The 20938-nt window shown below is 54.1% G+C and overlaps 1 protein-coding gene across 1 annotated transcript, besides 9 other annotated features; it reads left to right on the forward strand.

The window, feature by feature from the left end:
• MMP14 (matrix metallopeptidase 14) lies at positions 92 to 11265 on the forward strand. Its single transcript, NM_004995.4, has 10 exons — positions 92 to 432; positions 4998 to 5146; positions 5420 to 5542; positions 5917 to 6224; positions 6764 to 6925; positions 7217 to 7377; positions 7878 to 8016; positions 8137 to 8287; positions 8758 to 8873; positions 9215 to 11265. Exons 1-10 carry the CDS (start codon positions 325 to 327, stop codon positions 9544 to 9546), a joined length of 1749 nt encoding a protein of 582 aa, NP_004986.1. The 5' UTR covers positions 92 to 324; the 3' UTR covers positions 9547 to 11265.
• Positions 6498 to 6998: an enhancer, noted in NCBI's record as "H3K4me1 hESC enhancer chr14:23312200-23312700 (GRCh37/hg19 assembly coordinates)". NCBI's record gives its function as "activates a minimal SCP1, AML or CMV promoter by ChIP-STARR-seq in naive and primed H9 embryonic stem cells {active_cell/tissue: H9 hESC(naive and primed)}" and the evidence as "EXISTENCE:reporter gene assay evidence [ECO:0000049][PMID:30033119]".
• Positions 6999 to 7499: an enhancer, noted in NCBI's record as "H3K4me1 hESC enhancer chr14:23312701-23313201 (GRCh37/hg19 assembly coordinates)". NCBI's record gives its function as "activates a minimal SCP1, AML or CMV promoter by ChIP-STARR-seq in primed H9 embryonic stem cells {active_cell/tissue: H9 hESC(primed)}" and the evidence as "EXISTENCE:reporter gene assay evidence [ECO:0000049][PMID:30033119]".
• Positions 8991 to 9516: an enhancer, noted in NCBI's record as "H3K4me1 hESC enhancer chr14:23314693-23315218 (GRCh37/hg19 assembly coordinates)". NCBI's record gives its function as "activates a minimal SCP1, AML or CMV promoter by ChIP-STARR-seq in naive H9 embryonic stem cells {active_cell/tissue: H9 hESC(naive)}" and the evidence as "EXISTENCE:reporter gene assay evidence [ECO:0000049][PMID:30033119]".
• Positions 10041 to 10564: an enhancer, noted in NCBI's record as "H3K4me1 hESC enhancer chr14:23315743-23316266 (GRCh37/hg19 assembly coordinates)". NCBI's record gives its function as "activates a minimal SCP1, AML or CMV promoter by ChIP-STARR-seq in naive H9 embryonic stem cells {active_cell/tissue: H9 hESC(naive)}" and the evidence as "EXISTENCE:reporter gene assay evidence [ECO:0000049][PMID:30033119]".
• Positions 12707 to 13001: an enhancer, noted in NCBI's record as "tiled region #964; HepG2 Activating non-DNase unmatched - State 20:ReprD". NCBI's record gives its function as "activates a minimal TATA promoter and a strong SV40 promoter by Sharpr-MPRA in HepG2 cells {active_cell/tissue: HepG2}" and the evidence as "EXISTENCE:reporter gene assay evidence [ECO:0000049][PMID:27701403]".
• Positions 12707 to 13001: a silencer, noted in NCBI's record as "tiled region #964; K562 Repressive non-DNase unmatched - State 7:EnhWF". NCBI's record gives its function as "weakly represses a minimal TATA promoter and a strong SV40 promoter by Sharpr-MPRA in K562 cells {active_cell/tissue: K562}" and the evidence as "EXISTENCE:reporter gene assay evidence [ECO:0000049][PMID:27701403]".
• Positions 16429 to 16618: an enhancer, noted in NCBI's record as "active region_8145". NCBI's record gives its function as "activates an Ori minimal core promoter by ATAC-STARR-seq in GM12878 lymphoblastoid cells {active_cell/tissue: GM12878}" and the evidence as "EXISTENCE:reporter gene assay evidence [ECO:0000049][PMID:35858748]".
• Positions 16919 to 16968: an enhancer, noted in NCBI's record as "active region_8146". NCBI's record gives its function as "activates an Ori minimal core promoter by ATAC-STARR-seq in GM12878 lymphoblastoid cells {active_cell/tissue: GM12878}" and the evidence as "EXISTENCE:reporter gene assay evidence [ECO:0000049][PMID:35858748]".
• Positions 17349 to 17398: an enhancer, noted in NCBI's record as "active region_8147". NCBI's record gives its function as "activates an Ori minimal core promoter by ATAC-STARR-seq in GM12878 lymphoblastoid cells {active_cell/tissue: GM12878}" and the evidence as "EXISTENCE:reporter gene assay evidence [ECO:0000049][PMID:35858748]".

The following is a 20938-nucleotide window of genomic DNA, read 5'->3' on the forward strand; positions in this document are numbered from 1 at the left end:
CCCCAACCAGGAAAGGAGGGCACTGGGGCGGGGACGGAGGAGAGGCTGTGGGAGAAGGGAGGGACCAGAGGAGAGAGCGAGAGAGGGAACCAGACCCCAGTTCGCCGACTAAGCAGAAGAAAGATCAAAAACCGGAAAAGAGGAGAAGAGCAAACAGGCACTTTGAGGAACAATCCCCTTTAACTCCAAGCCGACAGCGGTCTAGGAATTCAAGTTCAGTGCCTACCGAAGACAAAGGCGCCCCGAGGGAGTGGCGGTGCGACCCCAGGGCGTGGGCCCGGCCGCGGAGCCCACACTGCCCGGCTGACCCGGTGGTCTCGGACCATGTCTCCCGCCCCAAGACCCCCCCGTTGTCTCCTGCTCCCCCTGCTCACGCTCGGCACCGCGCTCGCCTCCCTCGGCTCGGCCCAAAGCAGCAGCTTCAGCCCCGAAGTAAGTGAGCTTCCCGGCCCTTCCCGGAGTCGCGCCCGCCGGGAGGCGAGCCCGGGGGTCTCCTAGGGGACAGCCTCTATTCGGAGAGGAGGGCTTTTGGGATCTCCGCTGCTCAGGCCTGCAGGATTCCCCCTCCCTTTCTTTTTCCTCTTCGTCTCCAAACTTCCAGATCGATCCAACTTTTGCCCGCTTCCAACCAGCTGCCCCCACCCCCTGCGCCGCCGACTCTCCTTCCCATTCCTTCTTTTTTCCCAGTCCTTGGAAGAACTTTACAACTGGGGCGAACTCCCCCTTCCCCGATTCCCTTGGGCTCTGCTCTCAGCTCTGGAACCGCCTGATAAACATTTGGACTCCGCTCAAACCCCGCGCTGTCCCGGCTCCTCGTCATGCGCGAGAGTTTGTTGTTTCTTCGACTTCCCAGCTCTCCAGCGCTCTCCCGCCGGCGCGCCCTCCGATGGGCGCTTCGGCCTCCCCGGGTGGCCCAGGCCTTCAGCGGACGAGTCTGCGGCCAGGTGGGGGTCGAGGGTGGACGGCCGAGCGTCCAGGGCCACAGCCCCCGTCTCCCCGAGAGGACCCCGCTGTGTCCCTACCCGCATCCCTGGCGTCGAGGGTCGCAGCGCCGGCGCGCTGGCCGCGTTTCCGTACACACAAAGCTCTCCTTGTGAGCCGGGCGATCGGCCGGGTCGCTGCCTCCCCCTATCCCCACCCGCGTCGGCGCCTTCAGGCCCTTTTTGTTGTTAATAGTTTTTCTGTGTTAATTGCAGGGAGCCTGGGGGCGTCGCTTGGGGAATGGGGAGAGGGTCTGGTCCGGGGTGCCCTCACGTCGGGGCTGGCTCGGGCGCCCCCCACCCTCACCCCGGCCCAGACGGTGGCCCACCGGGCCCCAGAGGAAGCTGCGTGGGAGTTGTCTGAGGAGGTTTTTCCTCTCTCTCTCTTATTTTGGGGTGAAGGTGGGAGACGGATTTAATGAGCTTCTTATTTTGGGCCATCTCAACCCACTCAGCCTGGCAAGGGCCTGGGTGCGGTTGGGAGGGGCCAGGAAGGGCCCTAGAAGGGGGATGGGATATGGGTTTGGCTTCTCCTCCTTGGTCCCACCCCGGAGAAAACTCTTTGGAAAGAATACTGTCTTCTCTCTGCGTCCCTGAAAGGGTCTGGGGCCGACTGGAAAAGTATGGCCCCAGGAATCGGGGTGGAAGACGAAACGTGGAGTGCTCAGAGACCAGGGAGAGTAAAAACCTGCCCTGGTGCTGGAGGCTGAGCCTGACTGTCCGGGAGGAGTCGTCCTCTTCCCAGGCCTAGAGTCCTCTGAGACCTGAAAGGGAGCGCCCCTAACAAAACGAGCCTGAGCATCTGGGGAGCTGCCGACCGCCAACTTCACTGCCTTACCTTTTTTCCCTCCCCTGCTTTGCTGGGTCCCCCAGGGGAGGGGCGGCTGCCCTGGCTCCGTTTTAATTGGGTCATGGGCGGTCCCAGTGCCAGAACCACCATTTGCTTCTGGGCCCAGGAAGGGAGGGAGGAGCAGCCCCAGAGGCTAGGATCCAGGGCCTACTGCAGAGCTGGAGGTCCCCCCACCCTCCCCTGGACCCCTAAGCCAAGGTGGGAGGTGTTCCGTTGACTTTCTCCTAGGGGATACCTTGCATCTCTCTCATTCGCAAAGACAAAGCCAGCCGACTGGGTTCTTTGACCCAACATAGTTGCTTTTTTCTCCAGGCCAATGTGGAGGGAAAGCTGGGGTGGTGCAGGCCTCATGCAGCTGGGTCCCTCCTACCAGGCCTCCAGAGTCCTGCACCAGCTCCAGGACAGCCCTCTCCTCCCCATGGCCTGTCTGGCGCTGGGCCCTTCCTCCCACCCAGCCGCAGACACAAGAGTCCTCTCTTCTGTGGTTTCGACCTCATAGTCTCTGTGAGGAGAGAAACTTGCCTAGGCCTGGGGGGAGGAGAGGGATGGGGGCACTTCCTTTCCAGGCCTTGCGGCTCTCTTGACTCCAGGGAAGTCCTTCATTTGACTGAGCCTTCATTTTTCTCCCGAGGGTATGGGGTGGAGGTTGTAGGTGTGAATATTTAGACCCCCCTAGCTTCTTGAACGACTCCAGAGGGGATTTCCCCCAGAGCTCCTGGATGTGGATTCTCCCCATCTCTTCTGTCCCGTCTTCCTTCTGTCGTTCTGTCTTCTCCCCATCTTCCTTCTGTCGTTCTGCTCTAGGCAAATTCTCTCAGCTTTGCTCTCTGAGGGTTGACGGGGCCTGGCCTCAGTCCTCCTGCCTTCCAGCGTCAGTAGACCAGTCCCATCCTTCCCCAAGTCCTGAAGCAGCTGCTCCTCAACCAAGGGTCATAAGCCCGGGGTGTGTTTATCCTGCAGGTATGCTAGGGGCAAAAGACATTTCCTGCATAGTTAGGCACAGGCCACAGCAGGCCTCCCCAGGCACTGGCTGTGGCATCAGCCAGAACAGGTCAGGGCAAGCCTGCAGCTCCCTGAGAGCAGCCCCGGACTGGTGTGGACTGCTTGGCTCCCTCTGGTATACCAAAGGTTAAATGTCACTCCTTCCTCTACCCCTGAGGAGGGGCTCTCAGAGCCTCAGAGCTAGGTGGTGCTAGGGTTGTTCTAGCCAAGACTGTTGGCTGGGAAAAGGCTGGGTTGTTTACATCTCGGGTTCTAGCTCGCATCAGCCTTGGGGGGGGATCACTTCCCAGAACCATGTTGCAATTCTTGCCCCTGTGGGCTCAGGTCCCCAGTCAGCTGCTCTTGAGTCACCCCCAGTCCCCATGCAAGACTACTGCCCCATCACCAGGACCTGAGCCCAGAGGTGAAGGACCATGTGGCAATCCAATCCTGATGACCTTGGCTAGGAGATACAGCACCCAACAGCAGCCTCCCCCATCTCCCCTCCAAGATCCCATCCTGGGCAACCTACAGCCGCTTCCTGAACTCCCTAAGAAAGCAAAGCTGGAGCAGGGACTAGAGCTATCTGGGTGGTGTCTTCTCCCCATAAAAGAATCCAAGCATCTTCATATTTCATATATAACTTGGCTTGTTTTACTTTTTTTTTTTTTTTTTTTTTTTTGAGACAGAGTCTCGCTCTGTCACCCAGGCTGAGTGCAGTGGCGGGATCTTGGCTAACTGCAACCTTGGCCTCCCAGGTTCAGCAATTCTCCTACCACAGCTTCCTGAGTAGCTGGGATTACAGGTGCCCACCACCACGTGCAGCTAATTTTTGTATTTTTAGTAGAGACAGGGTTTCACCCTGTTGGCTAGGCTGGTCTCGAACTCCTGACCTCAGGTGATCTGCCCGCCTTGGCCTCCCAAACTGTCGGGATTACAGGCGTCAGCCACCACGCCCAGCCTGGCTTGTTTTACTTTGAGGCTTTAAGAAAATACTCCATTGTTCTTACAATAAAGGCTGACTTTCTCCTCAACAGGGCTTTGCAGTGTGTGTACCTTTTAATCAAACACCAAAAACCTAACATTAATTTAATTTAAGGCAATATGCCAGCCTTTATATTATGACCAATTCACAACATACCTGAAATAAAATACAGTCACCAAGTCTCCTCCTCCACCCCTATGTCCCACTTCCTCTGTTGAGAATCTTTTTTTTTTTTTTGAGACGGAGTCTTGCTTTGTCTCCCAGGCTGGAGTGCAGTGGCGCAATCTCAGCTCGCTGCAAGCTCCGCCTCCTGCGTTCACACCATTCTTCTGCCTCAGCCTCCTGAGTAGCTGGGACTACAAGCGCCCGCCACCGTGCCCGGCTAATATTTTTTGTATTTTTAGTAGAGACAGGGTTTCACCGTGTTAGCCAGGATGGTCTCGATCTCCTGACCTCGTGATCAGCCTGCCTCGGCCTCCCAAAGTGCTGGGATTACAGGTGTGAGCCACCGCGCCCGGCCACTGCTGAGAATCTTAAATAGGCCTTTAGGTTCCAAGCCATAGGTCAGATGCTGCTTGGATAAGGACAGCGGCAGGATCCTGGCTTCAGCTGGATCACACCTCTTACCACATTCCAAGTTCCTAGTTTCCCCTCGTAGCAGCCAGCCTTAGCTCTAGCTCTTTTTTCTGCCCTCCTTTCTAAAAAGATCTCAGCTGTGAGGGTCCTGGGGACATGGCACTCCCATCCCAGGAGGGCCTCAGGTCAAGCCCAATAGTAGAGCTCACTCAGCCTGTCAACACCCCTCCCCACACATCATGGGCATAGCCCAGTCCCAGGTGGAACATGCTATATTTGTAAGAACACTGACATGGGGGAGAAAAGTGCTAGAAGGAATCACAGCTCTGAGAAGACATCTCAGAACCCCATTAAACCACCAGGGCTCTCTCTCATTTTCAAGAGAGCTACAGCCAAAAGCCTGTTTGGGCCCATAGCCCCGAGGGGACAAGCTATAGCCCCGAGGGGCCTGGGCCAGAGATCAGGTCTAGCCTGGGAGTTCCTCCAGACCTGCTGCCGGAGCCAAGCTGGGAACCCACTGCCCTTTCCTTGCCAAGCCAAGGCTGTATGCTGGGCATTGTCGGGGAGGTAGAGGCACCCTATGGGCCAGGTGGGGACACTCTAAGCCATACCCCTTTCCCTACAGGCCTGGCTACAGCAATATGGCTACCTGCCTCCCGGGGACCTACGTACCCACACACAGCGCTCACCCCAGTCACTCTCAGCGGCCATCGCTGCCATGCAGAAGTTTTACGGCTTGCAAGTAACAGGCAAAGCTGATGCAGACACCATGAAGTAAGTGCTAGACCCTGGCAGGAGTTCTGCCTAGCATCCACTGACAATGCCAGCGCCAGAGATGTTCCTACCTGAATGCCTGGCTTGTGCACCCCACTCCCCCATATCTCATCCCCACGTGCTGATCCTGACCCTCTCATATTCACCCTGACCTCATAACCTTGGCCTTTCCCCACATTGACACACAGCAAGTCTTACCCAACACTGATCGTGGAGACCTTTCTCTTTCATACACTGCACTGATCCCAATCCTCGCACCCAAACCCACTCCAGGGCCATGAGGCGCCCCCGATGTGGTGTTCCAGACAAGTTTGGGGCTGAGATCAAGGCCAATGTTCGAAGGAAGCGCTACGCCATCCAGGGTCTCAAATGGCAACATAATGAAATCACTTTCTGGTGAGTCCAACAGGCAAGCAACCTTTCTCACATCTGGTTATTATTTCCTACCCATTGTGCTTATGCAGGGACTCAGAGACCCCCTGCCCCACTCCCCTCAGTTCCTGGGAAGCATCCGTGGGAGTGGGGAGGAAAATGGCTCTCATCCTTGAGAGAGGTGTAGCCATCAAGGGTGCACCCCAGTGCCAGAGAGCCAGAGCCTGAGGATCCCTTGTTCTTGAGACAGAGGCGTTGCGCATGAGGTAGCAGGAAGAGCTGGGTCAGGCAGAGGTGGCTGGGCCGCGCAGTCAGACCTGGGAGAGTGCAGGGAAGGAGAATGTTGCCCCTCTTTATCCTAACACACCCCATCCTCTCCCCACGTGGCTGGACCTCAGCATCCAGAATTACACCCCCAAGGTGGGCGAGTATGCCACATACGAGGCCATTCGCAAGGCGTTCCGCGTGTGGGAGAGTGCCACACCACTGCGCTTCCGCGAGGTGCCCTATGCCTACATCCGTGAGGGCCATGAGAAGCAGGCCGACATCATGATCTTCTTTGCCGAGGGCTTCCATGGCGACAGCACGCCCTTCGATGGTGAGGGCGGCTTCCTGGCCCATGCCTACTTCCCAGGCCCCAACATTGGAGGAGACACCCACTTTGACTCTGCCGAGCCTTGGACTGTCAGGAATGAGGATCTGAATGGTGAGCCAAGTATCCCTGGGACTTACTCTGGAAAAAGCCAACAGTCATTTGTAGGGGTGGTTCCCCTCCCTCCTTCCAAAATCTCCGGGCTAGAAGGGACCACAGAGACCTTCTGATCTAACTTCTGACAAAAGCAGGAGTCCTGTTTGAGCTATTTACATCTGGTCCCCCCTCTCACCCACTGACTGGCTTTCCAGTCAAAGACTTCAAAGCATCCTTATTGCCCACTTTTCCAGACCGATGTCATGTCTCGCTCCCGGGAGAAACTGGGGACTAGAGAGAGCCTTGGCTTCCCTTACCACAGGTCTTCCCGGGATCGGGGTCCTGCTTCCAAGCACTCTCTCACCTCCACCCAGAGGAGCTTGCTGACTGGCTTTGTGCTTAAATACCAGATAAAAAGCTAGACCTCAGAATTTGGCCACTTTGGATTGAAAACATGGGCAGCAGGCTTGGAGGTGAAACCAAAGCTGCTGGTGGGGAAGCAGGGAGGCTGAGGGAAGGGACTCAGGCTGCTATCGTCACTGTCCCCATCCTTCCAGGAAATGACATCTTCCTGGTGGCTGTGCACGAGCTGGGCCATGCCCTGGGGCTCGAGCATTCCAGTGACCCCTCGGCCATCATGGCACCCTTTTACCAGTGGATGGACACGGAGAATTTTGTGCTGCCCGATGATGACCGCCGGGGCATCCAGCAACTTTATGGCGAGTAGTCTACACCCACGCCTGCTCCCTCCTCTGCTGCTTGTTCCCTCCTGGTCTACGCATTTCCCCTCTTTTATGCCTTGCAGTCTCCGCACCGCCCCCTGCCAACCTGCCCCTGCCTCTATCAGCTCCACTTTTGAGCCCATCTTTTGTGTCGCCTCCCAGTTGGTTGCTTCAGCCTCCCCTAGAAGCCCATCCACACCTTTCCAAGGGTATTGTCTGCCCATCTGTCTGTCCTTCCGTCCCCGCCTCCTCCTAAGTCTGAAATGCCCCTCGTGTTTTCTGCCCCAGGGGGTGAGTCAGGGTTCCCCACCAAGATGCCCCCTCAACCCAGGACTACCTCCCGGCCTTCTGTTCCTGATAAACCCAAAAACCCCACCTATGGGCCCAACATCTGTGACGGGAACTTTGACACCGTGGCCATGCTCCGAGGGGAGATGTTTGTCTTCAAGGTGAGAAGAAGTGGGCTGGTTTGAAAGACAAAAGGGCCCTATGGGCTGGGCATGGTGGCTCATGCCTGTAATCCTAGCACTTTGAGAGGCCAAGGCAGGTGGATCACCTGAGGTCTGGAGTTCGAGAGCAGGCTGGCCAACATAGTGAAACCCCGTCTCTACTAAAAATACAAAAAATTAGCCAAGTGTGGTGGTGGGCGCCTATGATCCCAGCTACCTGGGAGGCTGAGGCAGGAGAATCACGTGAACCTGGGAGGTGGAGGTTGCAGTGAGCCGAGATAGGGCCATTGCACTCCAGCCTGGACAACAGTGTGAGACTCCATCTCAAAAAAAAAAAAGGCGGGGGGGTACTCTGTGGTAGGGCGGCTGGGTGGAAGTGACAACAGCTGGACTAAAAACTAAAACTGAGGAACAAACAGCAGTGCGGGAGCTTTGGGGACTGAACCAGAGACCTAGGCCGCAAGACATAATGGACTTTTCCTGCATTGACCGGCTTCCAGGAGCGCTGGTTCTGGCGGGTGAGGAATAACCAAGTGATGGATGGATACCCAATGCCCATTGGCCAGTTCTGGCGGGGCCTGCCTGCGTCCATCAACACTGCCTACGAGAGGAAGGATGGCAAATTCGTCTTCTTCAAAGGTAACCAGGCACTCCACTTTAGTCTTTGGGAGTGAGGCGGGTCTCCCTAGAGGAGCTGATTTCCTCTAAAGTCCCTAGAGCCTAAGTTGAACCCAGACGTTGCCCTCCTGTCCTCCCCAGGAGACAAGCATTGGGTGTTTGATGAGGCGTCCCTGGAACCTGGCTACCCCAAGCACATTAAGGAGCTGGGCCGAGGGCTGCCTACCGACAAGATTGATGCTGCTCTCTTCTGGATGCCCAATGGAAAGACCTACTTCTTCCGTGGAAACAAGTAAGACCTCAACCCCTTAACCCCAGGCCTCCCTCAGAAACCACCACCACCCCAAATTCCCTCAGTTCTGGAGAAAGACCCACTTTACCCCCAACATGCTTCCCTGGAGAAGGAGCTGGCTGAGCCTCTGCTGTTGCCTAGAAATGGGCAGCCTCCTTTGGGCACCGTGTGAGTGGGATGTGACCGGGTCATTCCAGACCTGGTCATTTGGCGCCTCCTGCCCCCAGCACTGCGCCTCCACCCCAGCAGCCAGGCACTGTCATTAGGGCTACTGGTGGCTCCTTGCAGCCTGGGCCCTCCCTTCCACCCCCACCTTCCGCCGCTTTCAGCAGCAGGTCCTCATTACTCAAAACCCCTGTCCCCACCCTGTCCACAGCTATCCTTTGCCCACTGGTGGATTCGGTCCGGGTCTTGCGCCTCCTGAGGACATGCCCAGTGTCCGCCACTGCCCTTCCTTTCCCCTTCCCCAGGTACTACCGTTTCAACGAAGAGCTCAGGGCAGTGGATAGCGAGTACCCCAAGAACATCAAAGTCTGGGAAGGGATCCCTGAGTCTCCCAGAGGGTCATTCATGGGCAGCGATGAAGGTGAGAGGGGCAAGGGAAGGTGTCGCTGAGAGAAGGATGGGAATAGGGAGTTGAGGAAGAGCGGGAGGGAAGCCTGAGGGAGTGCTGTGTGGAAAACAACGGCGATGATAATACCACATACCAGGCGCTGGGCTAGGTGCTTCCACACGTGGTGCCCATTCATCCCCACCACCTTCCAACCTGGTACTATAAGCACCCCCATTTTACAGCTGAGGAAGCTGATGCTCACGAAGGTGGAGGGAAGCTCAGCTGCCCTCACATTAACAGAGCTTCCCTCGCTCCTCTCCTCTCCTCTCTTTGGGTCTTCCCTTCCTTACCACCTTCTGATTCACTCCCTGCAGTCTTCACTTACTTCTACAAGGGGAACAAATACTGGAAATTCAACAACCAGAAGCTGAAGGTAGAACCGGGCTACCCCAAGTCAGCCCTGAGGGACTGGATGGGCTGCCCATCGGGAGGCCGGCCGGATGAGGGGACTGAGGAGGAGACGGAGGTGATCATCATTGAGGTGGACGAGGAGGGCGGCGGGGCGGTGAGCGCGGCTGCCGTGGTGCTGCCCGTGCTGCTGCTGCTCCTGGTGCTGGCGGTGGGCCTTGCAGTCTTCTTCTTCAGACGCCATGGGACCCCCAGGCGACTGCTCTACTGCCAGCGTTCCCTGCTGGACAAGGTCTGACGCCCACCGCCGGCCCGCCCACTCCTACCACAAGGACTTTGCCTCTGAAGGCCAGTGGCAGCAGGTGGTGGTGGGTGGGCTGTTCCCATCGTCCCGAGCCCCCTCCCCGCAGCCTCCTTGCTTCTCTCTGTCCCCTGGCTGGCCTCCTTCACCCTGACCGCCTCCCTCCCTCCTGCCCCGGCATTGCATCTTCCCTAGATAGGTCCCCTGAGGGCTGAGTGGGAGGGCGGCCCTTTCCAGCCTCTGCCCCTCAGGGGAACCCTGTAGCTTTGTGTCTGTCCAGCCCCATCTGAATGTGTTGGGGGCTCTGCACTTGAAGGCAGGACCCTCAGACCTCGCTGGTAAAGGTCAAATGGGGTCATCTGCTCCTTTTCCATCCCCTGACATACCTTAACCTCTGAACTCTGACCTCAGGAGGCTCTGGGCACTCCAGCCCTGAAAGCCCCAGGTGTACCCAATTGGCAGCCTCTCACTACTCTTTCTGGCTAAAAGGAATCTAATCTTGTTGAGGGTAGAGACCCTGAGACAGTGTGAGGGGGTGGGGACTGCCAAGCCACCCTAAGACCTTGGGAGGAAAACTCAGAGAGGGTCTTCGTTGCTCAGTCAGTCAAGTTCCTCGGAGATCTGCCTCTGCCTCACCTACCCCAGGGAACTTCCAAGGAAGGAGCCTGAGCCACTGGGGACTAAGTGGGCAGAAGAAACCCTTGGCAGCCCTGTGCCTCTCGAATGTTAGCCTTGGATGGGGCTTTCACAGTTAGAAGAGCTGAAACCAGGGGTGCAGCTGTCAGGTAGGGTGGGGCCGGTGGGAGAGGCCCGGGTCAGAGCCCTGGGGGTGAGCCTGAAGGCCACAGAGAAAGAACCTTGCCCAAACTCAGGCAGCTGGGGCTGAGGCCCAAAGGCAGAACAGCCAGAGGGGGCAGGAGGGGACCAAAAAGGAAAATGAGGACGTGCAGCAGCATTGGAAGGCTGGGGCCGGGCAGGCCAGGCCAAGCCAAGCAGGGGGCCACAGGGTGGGCTGTGGAGCTCTCAGGAAGGGCCCTGAGGAAGGCACACTTGCTCCTGTTGGTCCCTGTCCTTGCTGCCCAGGCAGCGTGGAGGGGAAGGGTAGGGCAGCCAGAGAAAGGAGCAGAGAAGGCACACAAACGAGGAATGAGGGGCTTCACGAGAGGCCACAGGGCCTGGCTGGCCACGCTGTCCCGGCCTGCTCACCATCTCAGTGAGGGGCAGGAGCTGGGGCTCGCTTAGGCTGGGTCCACGCTTCCCTGGTGCCAGCACCCCTCAAGCCTGTCTCACCAGTGGCCTGCCCTCTCGCTCCCCCACCCAGCCCACCCATTGAAGTCTCCTTGGGCCACCAAAGGTGGTGGCCATGGTACCGGGGACTTGGGAGAGTGAGACCCAGTGGAGGGAGCAAGAGGAGAGGGATGTCGGGGGGGTGGGGCACGGGGTAGGGGAAATGGGGTGAACGGTGCTGGCAGTTCGGCTAGATTTCTGTCTTGTTTGTTTTTTTGTTTTGTTTAATGTATATTTTTATTATAATTATTATATATGAATTCCATTCAAATCGTTCCTTTTTGTTAACAAGGGGCATGGGGAGGGGTGGGGGTGGGGGGGCAGAGGCGTCTGACCCCAGGAACCTGCAGGGCGGGGCTGGGTCGGTGCCCTCTAAGGACAATTTTGACCTTGTTCAACCTTTCCACAAAGAATAAATTGTGTTTCACATTCCTTGTGTGGCTGAGCTCTGTAGAGGGTGACGGGCTGTGGGTGAGAGGAGCTGGATGAGGGGCGGGCACACATCATAAGCAGCGTTTTCCATGAGGTGGGGCTTTGGCATTTTTCATAAAGGAGTATGTTTATTCTTAGTGGACTAAAGGGATTCAGGGGCCAGAGTTGGGGAGCAGGGCATACCCATAGGGGGCAGCGGGGTGGCTGACAGAGCTCAGCTGCTCTCCCACCACCTGGCTTAAAAGGCTGCCTTGAGACCCAAGGCTCAGAGACAAGAGGAAGTGGTCAAGCTGATGCCACTTGGAAAATCTTCCTAAATTGCATTACCGTGTCCTGTGATCCACCCGCAGACCCTCAGTTTCCTCATGCCTCTCTGCCTGAGGCAGGGGGATTCCCATGATCATATTCGACCTTGGGCTCACTGGCTTTATCCGAGCCCTCAGGACCTAAGAAGCCTCTTCCAGGCCTGGGGCTCTGCTGCTAAGACAGAAGGAGACGAGGGAGAAAGAGAAAGAGGTGTCGCTGCGGGGCCTGCTAGGAGCAGCCCGTCTCTGGCCAAACAGAGATCTCATCCCAATTGCCCGGAAGAACCAGGATGGTCAGGTTGGAAGGGCAGAATAACAAGGCTTTGCTTCCTCTTTCCTTAGAAACTCCTGCCCCAGACAGGGTTCCCAGGCTTCCTCTGAAACCAGCCTGGAGGGAGGAATCAGTTCAGTGCTGAGTCAGCTCCGCTGGAGGAGAGCAGCCCCTTTTTCTCACCCCCCTTCCCTTCCTGCCTCCACCCAGCCCACCCTGGGCTCCAGCCCAAACTCCCTCCGCCGCCTGCCTTGCAGAGTCCTGGCCCCATCTATGCCAGTCAGTCTATCCAGCTGCTATTCAGGGCTGGTTAGTGTGATTGCTTTGGCAGAAGGGGTACTCCACCTTCCTGCCTGCCAGGAACCCTGACCCTACGCCTGGCCTCCTGCGCCTCCCCCTGCCAACAGCTGTTTGGCAGTCTGTGTGTCTCGGTGGAATTGGACACCACCTCACCACCACCCTTACCGGAGGGGATGGGGACCTTGATAAGGTGGCAGGGGAAGTCAGGGGCATCTGAGGGTGGTAGGGTCTGTGCGGGTGGCAAGGAACTCAAAGATGAGCTCATGGCCCCTTTGTGTTTTTGTGGTCCACATCTGGAGGCAATTACAGATGTTATCCAGTGGGAGTTTTGCAAAACACAGCTGGAGCCAGTGGAGGAGCCTGGGGAGGGGGGACTGCCAGAGAGAAGAGGAGGGGGAGCCTAGGGCTCCCGCGCTGGAGTGCGGTTTCCCCATCACGAGGAAATTGTTTGGCCCTGATTCTGGAATCACAAGATGCTCTCTGGAGCCAAGGGGGAGAAATGGGAATGGAGGACCAGAGACAAAGGGGAAAGAGGTGGAAGATGGGCTTATAAAACCCCCCACTGCTAAATTTGACTGGTTTAAAAAAATAAAATAAAAATTAAAACAAGCTTCACAAGCGGAGAGAATTTCAGGGTGGAGGCGGCAGGGTCCCGTGCTTCTGACGTGCCTGGGCCTGCCTGATCCACCCCAGTGAGGCTGCCCGGGGACCCTGGGAGGTGCCTTAGTGATCACAAGTTCCCGCTGAGTGAACCGCCAGGTCAGGCTGGGGTGAGGGGAGAGCAGAGGGCTCTGTGGCTTCCGAAAGACCTGCAAACTCGGCTTTCACTGGCCCTACCCCGATCTGTCCATTGGGCCTGACCCAGTTTCTATGGTTCCAAGTTCCTTTATTCGAAAGCAGCACATGTGAGTTGGAGCAGCCAGGAGGGAGCCAAGGGGAATCTTCAAGGAGGTTTGGGCAGAACCCAGGAAAGTTGGTGCTAAGGAGACGCTGGACGGGGGGCAAGGGCCGAGGAGGAGCAGCACTCTGCCCACGACTGCACCCCACACATCTGGAGGGGGGCCACGGACTCCCTTGTCATCACCTCCCCTTCTCCAGGGCTCCTGGCACCAGCTGGGCCCATGACTCCAGGGCTGCCGGCCAGGCGCTGGGTCAGCGGGAAGGGAAGGGAAGATCTAAGAGGAGCTAGGTCCTCTAGAGGAGAGAGGACTGGGCAGAGAGACACCCCCACACCCCTCCAGACCCCAAAACATAATCTGGCTAGCTCTGCCAGTCCTTCACTGTCCCTCCCCCAGGGCCCCTTCTCCCCACAATCTGACAGACTTTCCAGTGGTCTCTTTCCACTCTGTATCCCTCCTTCCCTTCCAGCAATGGTGAAACTAACATTTGCTGAGGTCCTTACAACACACAGTGACACAGGCACTAATATTGTCCCCATTTAACAAATAAGGGAACTGAGGCCCAGAAAGATAAATAACTTGGTCAAGGTCACAGGTTGTTAGTCCAAATTTAAAACCCAGATCTTTCCAATTTATTTATTTATTTTTCTATACTGGCAGATCCTGGCAATCTCTTGGTGTCTCTTCCAGCATGGACCCTGGGTAGCTGGGCGTTTTCATGGCAGTGTGTGTTCTGGGGATCTGTCAGCACATATGTATTTGCTTATTATGGCTTTTGTTGTTGTTGTTGTTTTGAGACAGAGTCTCACTCTTGTTGCCCAGGCTGGAGTGCAATGGCACGATCTCAGCTCACCGCAACCGCCACCTCCTGGGTTCAAGCGATTCTCCTGACTCAGCCTCCCAAGTAGCTGGGATTACAGGCATGTGCCACCACGCCCGGCTAATTTTGTATTTTTAGTAGAGACAGGGTTTCTCCATGTTGGTCAGGCTTGTCTCGAACTCCCAACCTCAGGTGATCCGCCTGCCTCGGCCTCCCAAAGTGTTGGGATTACAGGCGTGAGCACCCGGCTGTATTTGCTTATTGTGCAGCAATATTATGGGGGATAGGAGTGCAGAGGGAAAAGGACCCCACTTTGCCAGCCCATCGCCTCCCTTCCTGGGGACAGGAGCCGTACTCTGAAGGAAGGAAGGTGGCACCAAGACTCAGAAGCCAAAGGGATGGAATGAGACAATGGCAGCAGCTAAGGGAAGGGTGGGATTGGTGAATGTTTCTGTGCAAGGGCATGGGGGGGCAGGGGGCTTCAGGGGTGGTGCCCATTCCCAAAGTCCCCAAGGAAACTCCAGCCAAGGCTGCTCCGTCGTCCTGCAGCTCCTGTCCCGTTTCCTACCTACCAACCCAAATCTGAGTACACCTCTTTTAAAAGCTCAAGTCTGCACACCTAGCCCCAGCCTTGGGGGTTTCTGCCCTCCTCTCTCAGTCTTGTGAAAGTAGGGAGACCGGAGGCCGCCTGCAAGGGGCTGGGCAGCCAGGGCCTGGAAGGGAGGCAGGCCTGACTGGCCAGAAGCCACCTTCCAAATGAGCTCACACACATATTTTCCACCCTGGCCCAGGGCCGATGGCTCAGCTCCTTCCAGGCCAGCCTTCCCCAGCCAGGCCCAGCCCCCTCTGTCCTACCCTGCCACCAGTCCTGGCCCTAGGGACTCCAAAGCAAGATTACTGGCAGCCTCCTGGCCAGGGCAGTCACTGGCATCCCCAAGGAGCAGCCTCCTCTGCCTCCATGCTGAGGCCATTTGCCCCAGATTGCCCTTATTCCTTTGTGACTTACAGAAGAAGGAGACCAGCTCCCTGCCTCCAAAGACCCACACCTGGATAGGGAGGGATGGTAGAGGTGATAGAAGAGGCGGTGGAAGTAATGAATGGGCGGAAGGGCTTCCTTTGAGTGCCCGAAGTAGCTCATTGACTCAGGGACCAGCCAGGTCTGGGAGCTGCCTCATCACCGGCCACATCCTGCTCACTCACTCAGTTTCCTGCTAGGGGCAGTTCCCTGACTTGGAGCAGGATGGGGTCTGGGTGAGGCAAGGCCAGGCTGACCACAAAGCTGAGAAAAAAGACTGGCGTGTCAGAAGGCCTAGTGGATTCATACACACGCAACAGGCTCCATTTCACTTTGGTTTGTCAAAGACATCACTCATTGCCCAACTTACAGAGACATGTAGCACCAGGCCAGAGAGCAGGATCAATTCCCCAAAAGGCTCTCTCGCCTGCTCAGCACCTGATTCTGTGCTAGGAGTATGGCTGCCCTGACTCTATTTCCTGGCTCCAGTTTTGTCCCCTGGAGTTCTGTGAGTTAGTATATTCAGACACGGCAGACAATTCTTCCCATTCTGGAGTCCAAGATGACGGTCACTGTGAGTAGATCACACAATGTTGCTCTCTCATACCAGGTGATGGTATAGTTCTGTCAAGGAATTACTATAATTCATAATACCAACCCTATCACAGCCACTGGAAAACAGGTTCTAGCCTCACTTTTCTTACAAACGGGTAAAATAGTGCTAGACACACAGGAGGCACTCAGTAAAATTTGTTGAATTGAATTACCAGTGGTAGTTGTGATTACATAAGTATTGTATACATATGTACATATTATGGACACATAAGTAGTGAATACATAACTCAAATAATTGAGCTGAACACTTAAACTTAGTGCACTTTGTGAGCATCATGGTACATATATATTTTTGTGTGTGTGAGACAGAGTCTCGCCCTGTCGCCCATGGTGGAGTGCAATGGTGCGATCTCGGCTCACCGCAACCTCCGCCTCCCGGGTTCAAATGATTCTCCTGCCTCAGCCTCCTGAGTAGCTGGGATTACAGGCGCCCGCCACACCCAGCTAACTTTTTTCTTTTTTTTTTTTTTTGTATTTTTAGTAGAGGCAGGGTTTCACCACGTTCACCAGGCAGATCTCAAACTCCTGATCTCATGATCTGCCCGCCCCAGTCTCCCAAAGTGCTGGGGTTACAGGCGTGAGCCAATGTGCCCGGCCTTTCATGGTATATTTTACCTTATTATTTTTTTTTTAGATTAGTCAAGTGCAGTAGTGAGAAGGGGGAAAAGAACAGAACAAGGAGTTTGATCTGTAACTGACTGTGAGCAATCAGTTGAGATAACACACTACCTTCAGACCAACCATCACGTCAATCTTTAAAAGGTTTTAAAAAAGAAAAATATATTGAGGTAAAGAGGTTCATACCCCCAGAACTCCTACTTTGTCCCTGTAGGCCCCATCCCCTCCCGCTTAGGTGTCAACTCTCCACTCCCTGCCTGCCCTTAATCTGGGAGTGGTTGGTATCAGTTTGTGTTGACCCAACTCTTCTGGAAATACCCAGCCTTTGGCTTGCACTCCCAGCCCAGCCCACACCTAGACTCTGACCTGGAGGGCCCAGCCAGGAGGCCTCTCTTCCCTCTATCCCTCTAAGCTCTATGTCAGATTCCCCAAACTCTCCTCTGCTTTGCTGGCCTGTGCTCCAGAGGTCTCCCCACCTCATCCCTGCACAAGATTGCATGTAGGTTCTGAGAGGAGGAAAGCTGGGTAAGGGACTTAGAGGAACACACCCCACTCTCTATGGCTGCGCCCACTCCATGTGCAAGACCCGCGGGGCAGGGTTTGCAGGGTGGTAGCGCCCCCTTGTGCTGGATGTTGGGACTGCAAACCGAACCTAGGGAACTGAGAGGCAGAGGCAAAGCCAGTCCCGCCAGGGCCACGGGCACTACCAGCCTCTTCCTTCCCCTGTTCCACTTTCCATGTTTCCACCCTGGACACCTGTACTTAAAGGGGTGGGACTCGGCGAGACGGGCAGACAAGCCGCTCTTAGCTTTCCAGCTGCAGAGAGGGAAATGTCAGAGTTTCCGTCTGCTGTCCCTGTGTGGAGGTTGGTGGGCAGCCCTCACTAACTCCAGGAAAGGACAGGGAGTGGGGGGGCGGCGGGTGGTACAGGACAGATGGTCCGCGGGAGGGGAGAAGGTTGGCACTTCTGTGCCCTCTCCTTGGAGCGCCTCTGAGTTGTCACACTGCCCCCCTGTGGGCGCCTCAGACACGAATCACTCCAGGATGCCTGTCCCCGGGGTCCCAGGGTAAGAGTCCAGATGAGACTCTGCACTCCTGGACTGCAGAATGCTATCACAGAACTCCTTCTGACCAAGACAAGCAGGCCCCTGTGTCCCCTTTATCTAAGAGTGGGACATTTCTGTGCCAATTCCCTGAGGCTTTTGGAGATAACACCCATGCCTCTTGAGGGACCTCTAACCTGCACCCATGCCCCTGTCCTCGTCCTCACCCTGGTGCCATGAGAATCCTTTGGTCTCAGCCTCACATTTATAAAGGCCCTTAAATTTCTAATTTTGTAGTTAAAAAAATTCCTGTTGGTTCTTGTAAATAGTACTATATAGCTGTGTTGTTTGTACCAAGTTTGTATTTGTTAAATGTTTAAATATACCAAGTATTATCAAAATCATCTTAGCATTTCTTAGTTGTTTTTATTATTATTATTTAGAGTCTGGCTCTATCACCCAGGCTGGAGTGCAGTGGCACAATGTCGGCTCATTTGCAACCTCATTTCCTGGATTCAAGCGATTCTCGTGCCTCAGCCTCCTGAGTAGCTGGGATTACAGGCACCCGCCACCATGCCTGGCTAATTTCTGTATTTTTAGTAGAGATAGGGTTTCACCATGTTGGCTAGGCTGGTCTCAAACTCCTGACCTCAGGTAATCCGCCCTCCTCGGCCTCCCAAAGTGTTGGGATTACAGGCATGAGCCACTGGGCCCAGCCTTAATTTTTTAATATACCAGAGGCTCAAAAAATGGACATGATTTGAGGTTACGCTCAAATTTCCAAGGGGTGTTCCCACCCCACATAAAAAATTGAACTGCGGCTGGGCGCGGTGGCTCCCGCGCTGAGGAGGGTGGATCCCTGGGAGGCTGAGGCGGGTGGATCACCTGAGGTCAGGAGTTCGAGAGCAGCCTGGCCAACATGGTGAAACCCCATCTTGTCTCCACTAAAAACACAAAAATTAGCTGGGCATGGTGGCGCATGCCTGTAATACTAGCTACTCAGGAGGCTGTGGCAGGAGAATTGCTTGAACCCAGGAGGCAGTGGTTGCAGTCAGCCGACATCACACCATTGCATTCCAGCCTGCACAACAAAGCAAAAAACTCTGTCTTAAGGAAAAAAAAAAAAAAAAAGCCTGGCAGGGTGCGGTGGCTCACGAGCTCGTGCCTCTAATCCCAGCACTGTGGAAGGCCAATCATGAGGTCAAGAGATCGAGACCATCCTGGCCAACATGGTAAAACCCCATCTCTACTAAAAATACAAAAATTAGCTGGGCATGATGGCACACACCTCTAGTCCCAGCGACTCGGGAGGCTGAGGCAGGAGAATCGCTTGAACCCAGGAGGCAGAGGTTGCAGTGAGCTCAGATTGTGCCACTGCACTCCAGCCTGGCAACAAAGCGAGACAACTTACTTCAATAAGCTCCCTTTGCCCCTGTCTTCTGTGAAGTGGGCCATCCTGAAACTGATGAGTCACAGAGTTGTCAAGGAGTACTGATGGCCCCAGACAGGTATCCCTCTATATCAACACTTGCCCTCAGCCTCTGTACCTCAAGCAGGAAGTAGACTGACTTTATTTGCTCCATGAATTCCAGTTTCTGGCCTTCAGAGTATACAGAATAAACAAATTCTTGTTCTACACTACAGCTTGTCAAACATTTCAATCTAGTTTTCACTAAAGTTAAGCTCTCCAGCCGGGTGCAGTGGCTCACCCCTATAATCCCAGCACTTTGGGAAGCCAAGGTGGGAGAATTGCTTAAGCTCAGGAGTTCGAGATCATCCTGGGCAACATGGTGAATACCCGTCTCTACCAAAAAATACAAAAATTAGTCAGGCATAGTGGCGCCGGGCTGTAGTCCCAACTACTTGGCAGGCTGGGATGGGAGGACTGCTTAAGCCTAGGAGGTAAAGGTTGCAGTGAGCCATGATCGTGCCACTGCACTCCAGCCTGGGCAACAGAGTAAGACCCTGTCTCAAAAAATAAATAAATAAATAAAAATAAAGGTTAAGCTTTCCTTTAGTTGAAAAGCATTTCTAGTTTCATAAACAGCTTATCATATGACATGACTTAGAGACATTTCAACATTCCTGTCACCTTCCTCCGCATTATTTCATTTTACTAATCTTTTATAATGTGGCTTCCAGTATATGAGGAGGCAGTAACAGGTAGTGGCTAGGAACAAGGGCTCTGGACTTGGCAATTAGTGTGTGAATCTAGTCTTTACTGCTTACTGGTTGGGACCTTCAGCAAGTTATATATCCTGCTGGAGCTTCAGTTTCCTCACCTTTAACATGGAGCTAATAATACAAAGGGTAGTTGAGTAGATTAAAAGACATCATCTATGTGATGCCTGTCACTAGTGGTCACTGATTCATTCACTCAAAAAGCATTTATTGAATACCTACTATGTGCTAGACATTGTTTTTGGCACTGAGGATACGGCAGTAAACAAATAGACCCTGCCCTCATGGAACATACATTCTTGTGAGAAGAGCAGGGATAAATGTGATGAATTAATAAAATAGTTTATTAGATAGTGCTAAGTGCTAAGGAGAAAAATTAATTGAGGAAGGGAGATAGACATTGTTGGGGGTGTAATTTTATACACTGGGGTCAGAGAAGGCCCCACCAAGAACCTGAGGATATGAGGGAACAAACCAAGTGGTTCTCAGGAAGAAGAGCATTCCAAGCAAAAGCAGAAGTAAATGCCAAGACTGAGGTGAGTACATGGCTCCCATATTCATGTCTTAGTGAACAAGGTAGTGTGGCTGGAACAGAATGATCAAGGAAGACAGCAATAGAAGAGGAGATCAGACAGGTCATGGGGTGACATCCCATAAAACCCTGTAAGTCATTGTAAAGACTTTGGCTCATACTCTAACTGAAAGGAAGGAAGACTGCAGTGGCGTAAAGGAAGGACGTGGTATTTTAGTACAGTGTAAATACTCATTATTATTATATATTATTATAAATACTCATTATTATTATATATTAAATAAATATTTTTTTATTTATTTTTCTTTTGAGATAGAGTCTTGCTCTGTCACCCAGGCTGGGAGTGCAGTGGCGTGATCTCCACTCACTGCAATCTCCGACTCCCGGGTTCAAACAATTCTGCCTCAGCCTCTAGAGTAGCTGGAACTACAGGCACATGCCACCACACCAGGCTAATTTTTGACCATGTTGGCCAGGCTAGTCTTGAACTCCTGACCTCAGGTGATCCACCTGCCTCAGCCTCCCAAAGTGCTGGGATAACAGGTGTGAGCCACCCTGCCTGGCCAGTGACTTGTTTCTAATGGAGTCTGGCAGCAGTGACAGTGTGTGACTTCCAAGAATAATAAGCAATAAAAGACATTATAAAAATCTAAAATCTAAAATCAAAAATATGTTTTGCTGTCTTTTGGATCACTCATTTTGAAGAAAGCTAGCTGCCATGCTGCAGGACACTCAAGAAGTCTTATAGAGAGGTCCACAGGTAAGGAACTGAGGCCTCCTGCCAACAGCCAGCATGAACTTGCCAGGCATATGAGTGAGCCATCTTGGAGGCAGATCCTCCAGCCACGGTCAAACCTTCAGATGATTACTGTCCTGGCCAACATTTGGACTGCAACCTAATGAGAGATCCTAAGCCAGGTTCATCTAGGTAAGTCACTTTCAAATTCCTGGCCAATATAAAATGATTACAACAATAAATGTTTATTTTATATTTTAAGCTGTGAAATTTTGGGATGATTTCTCATTCAGCAATAGATAACTAATAGGTTTGGGTACTAAAAGTGGAGTGCT

Source organism: Homo sapiens, chromosome 14 (genome assembly GCF_000001405.40).
Source record: "Homo sapiens chromosome 14, GRCh38.p14 Primary Assembly".
In the NCBI taxonomy this organism is placed as follows: Eukaryota; Metazoa; Chordata; class Mammalia; order Primates; family Hominidae; genus Homo; species Homo sapiens.

Coding starts and splice junctions, on each gene's coding strand:
- MMP14 (NM_004995.4), top strand. CDS start 325: ATGTCTCCCGCCCCAAGACCCCCCCGTTGTCTCCTGCTCCCCCTGCTC. Junction 433..4,997: donor GCAGCAGCTTCAGCCCCGAA/GTAAGTGAGCTT, acceptor CTTTCCCTACAG/GCCTGGCTACAGCAATATGG. Junction 8,017..8,136: donor CAAATTCGTCTTCTTCAAAG/GTAACCAGGCAC, acceptor TGTCCTCCCCAG/GAGACAAGCATTGGGTGTTT.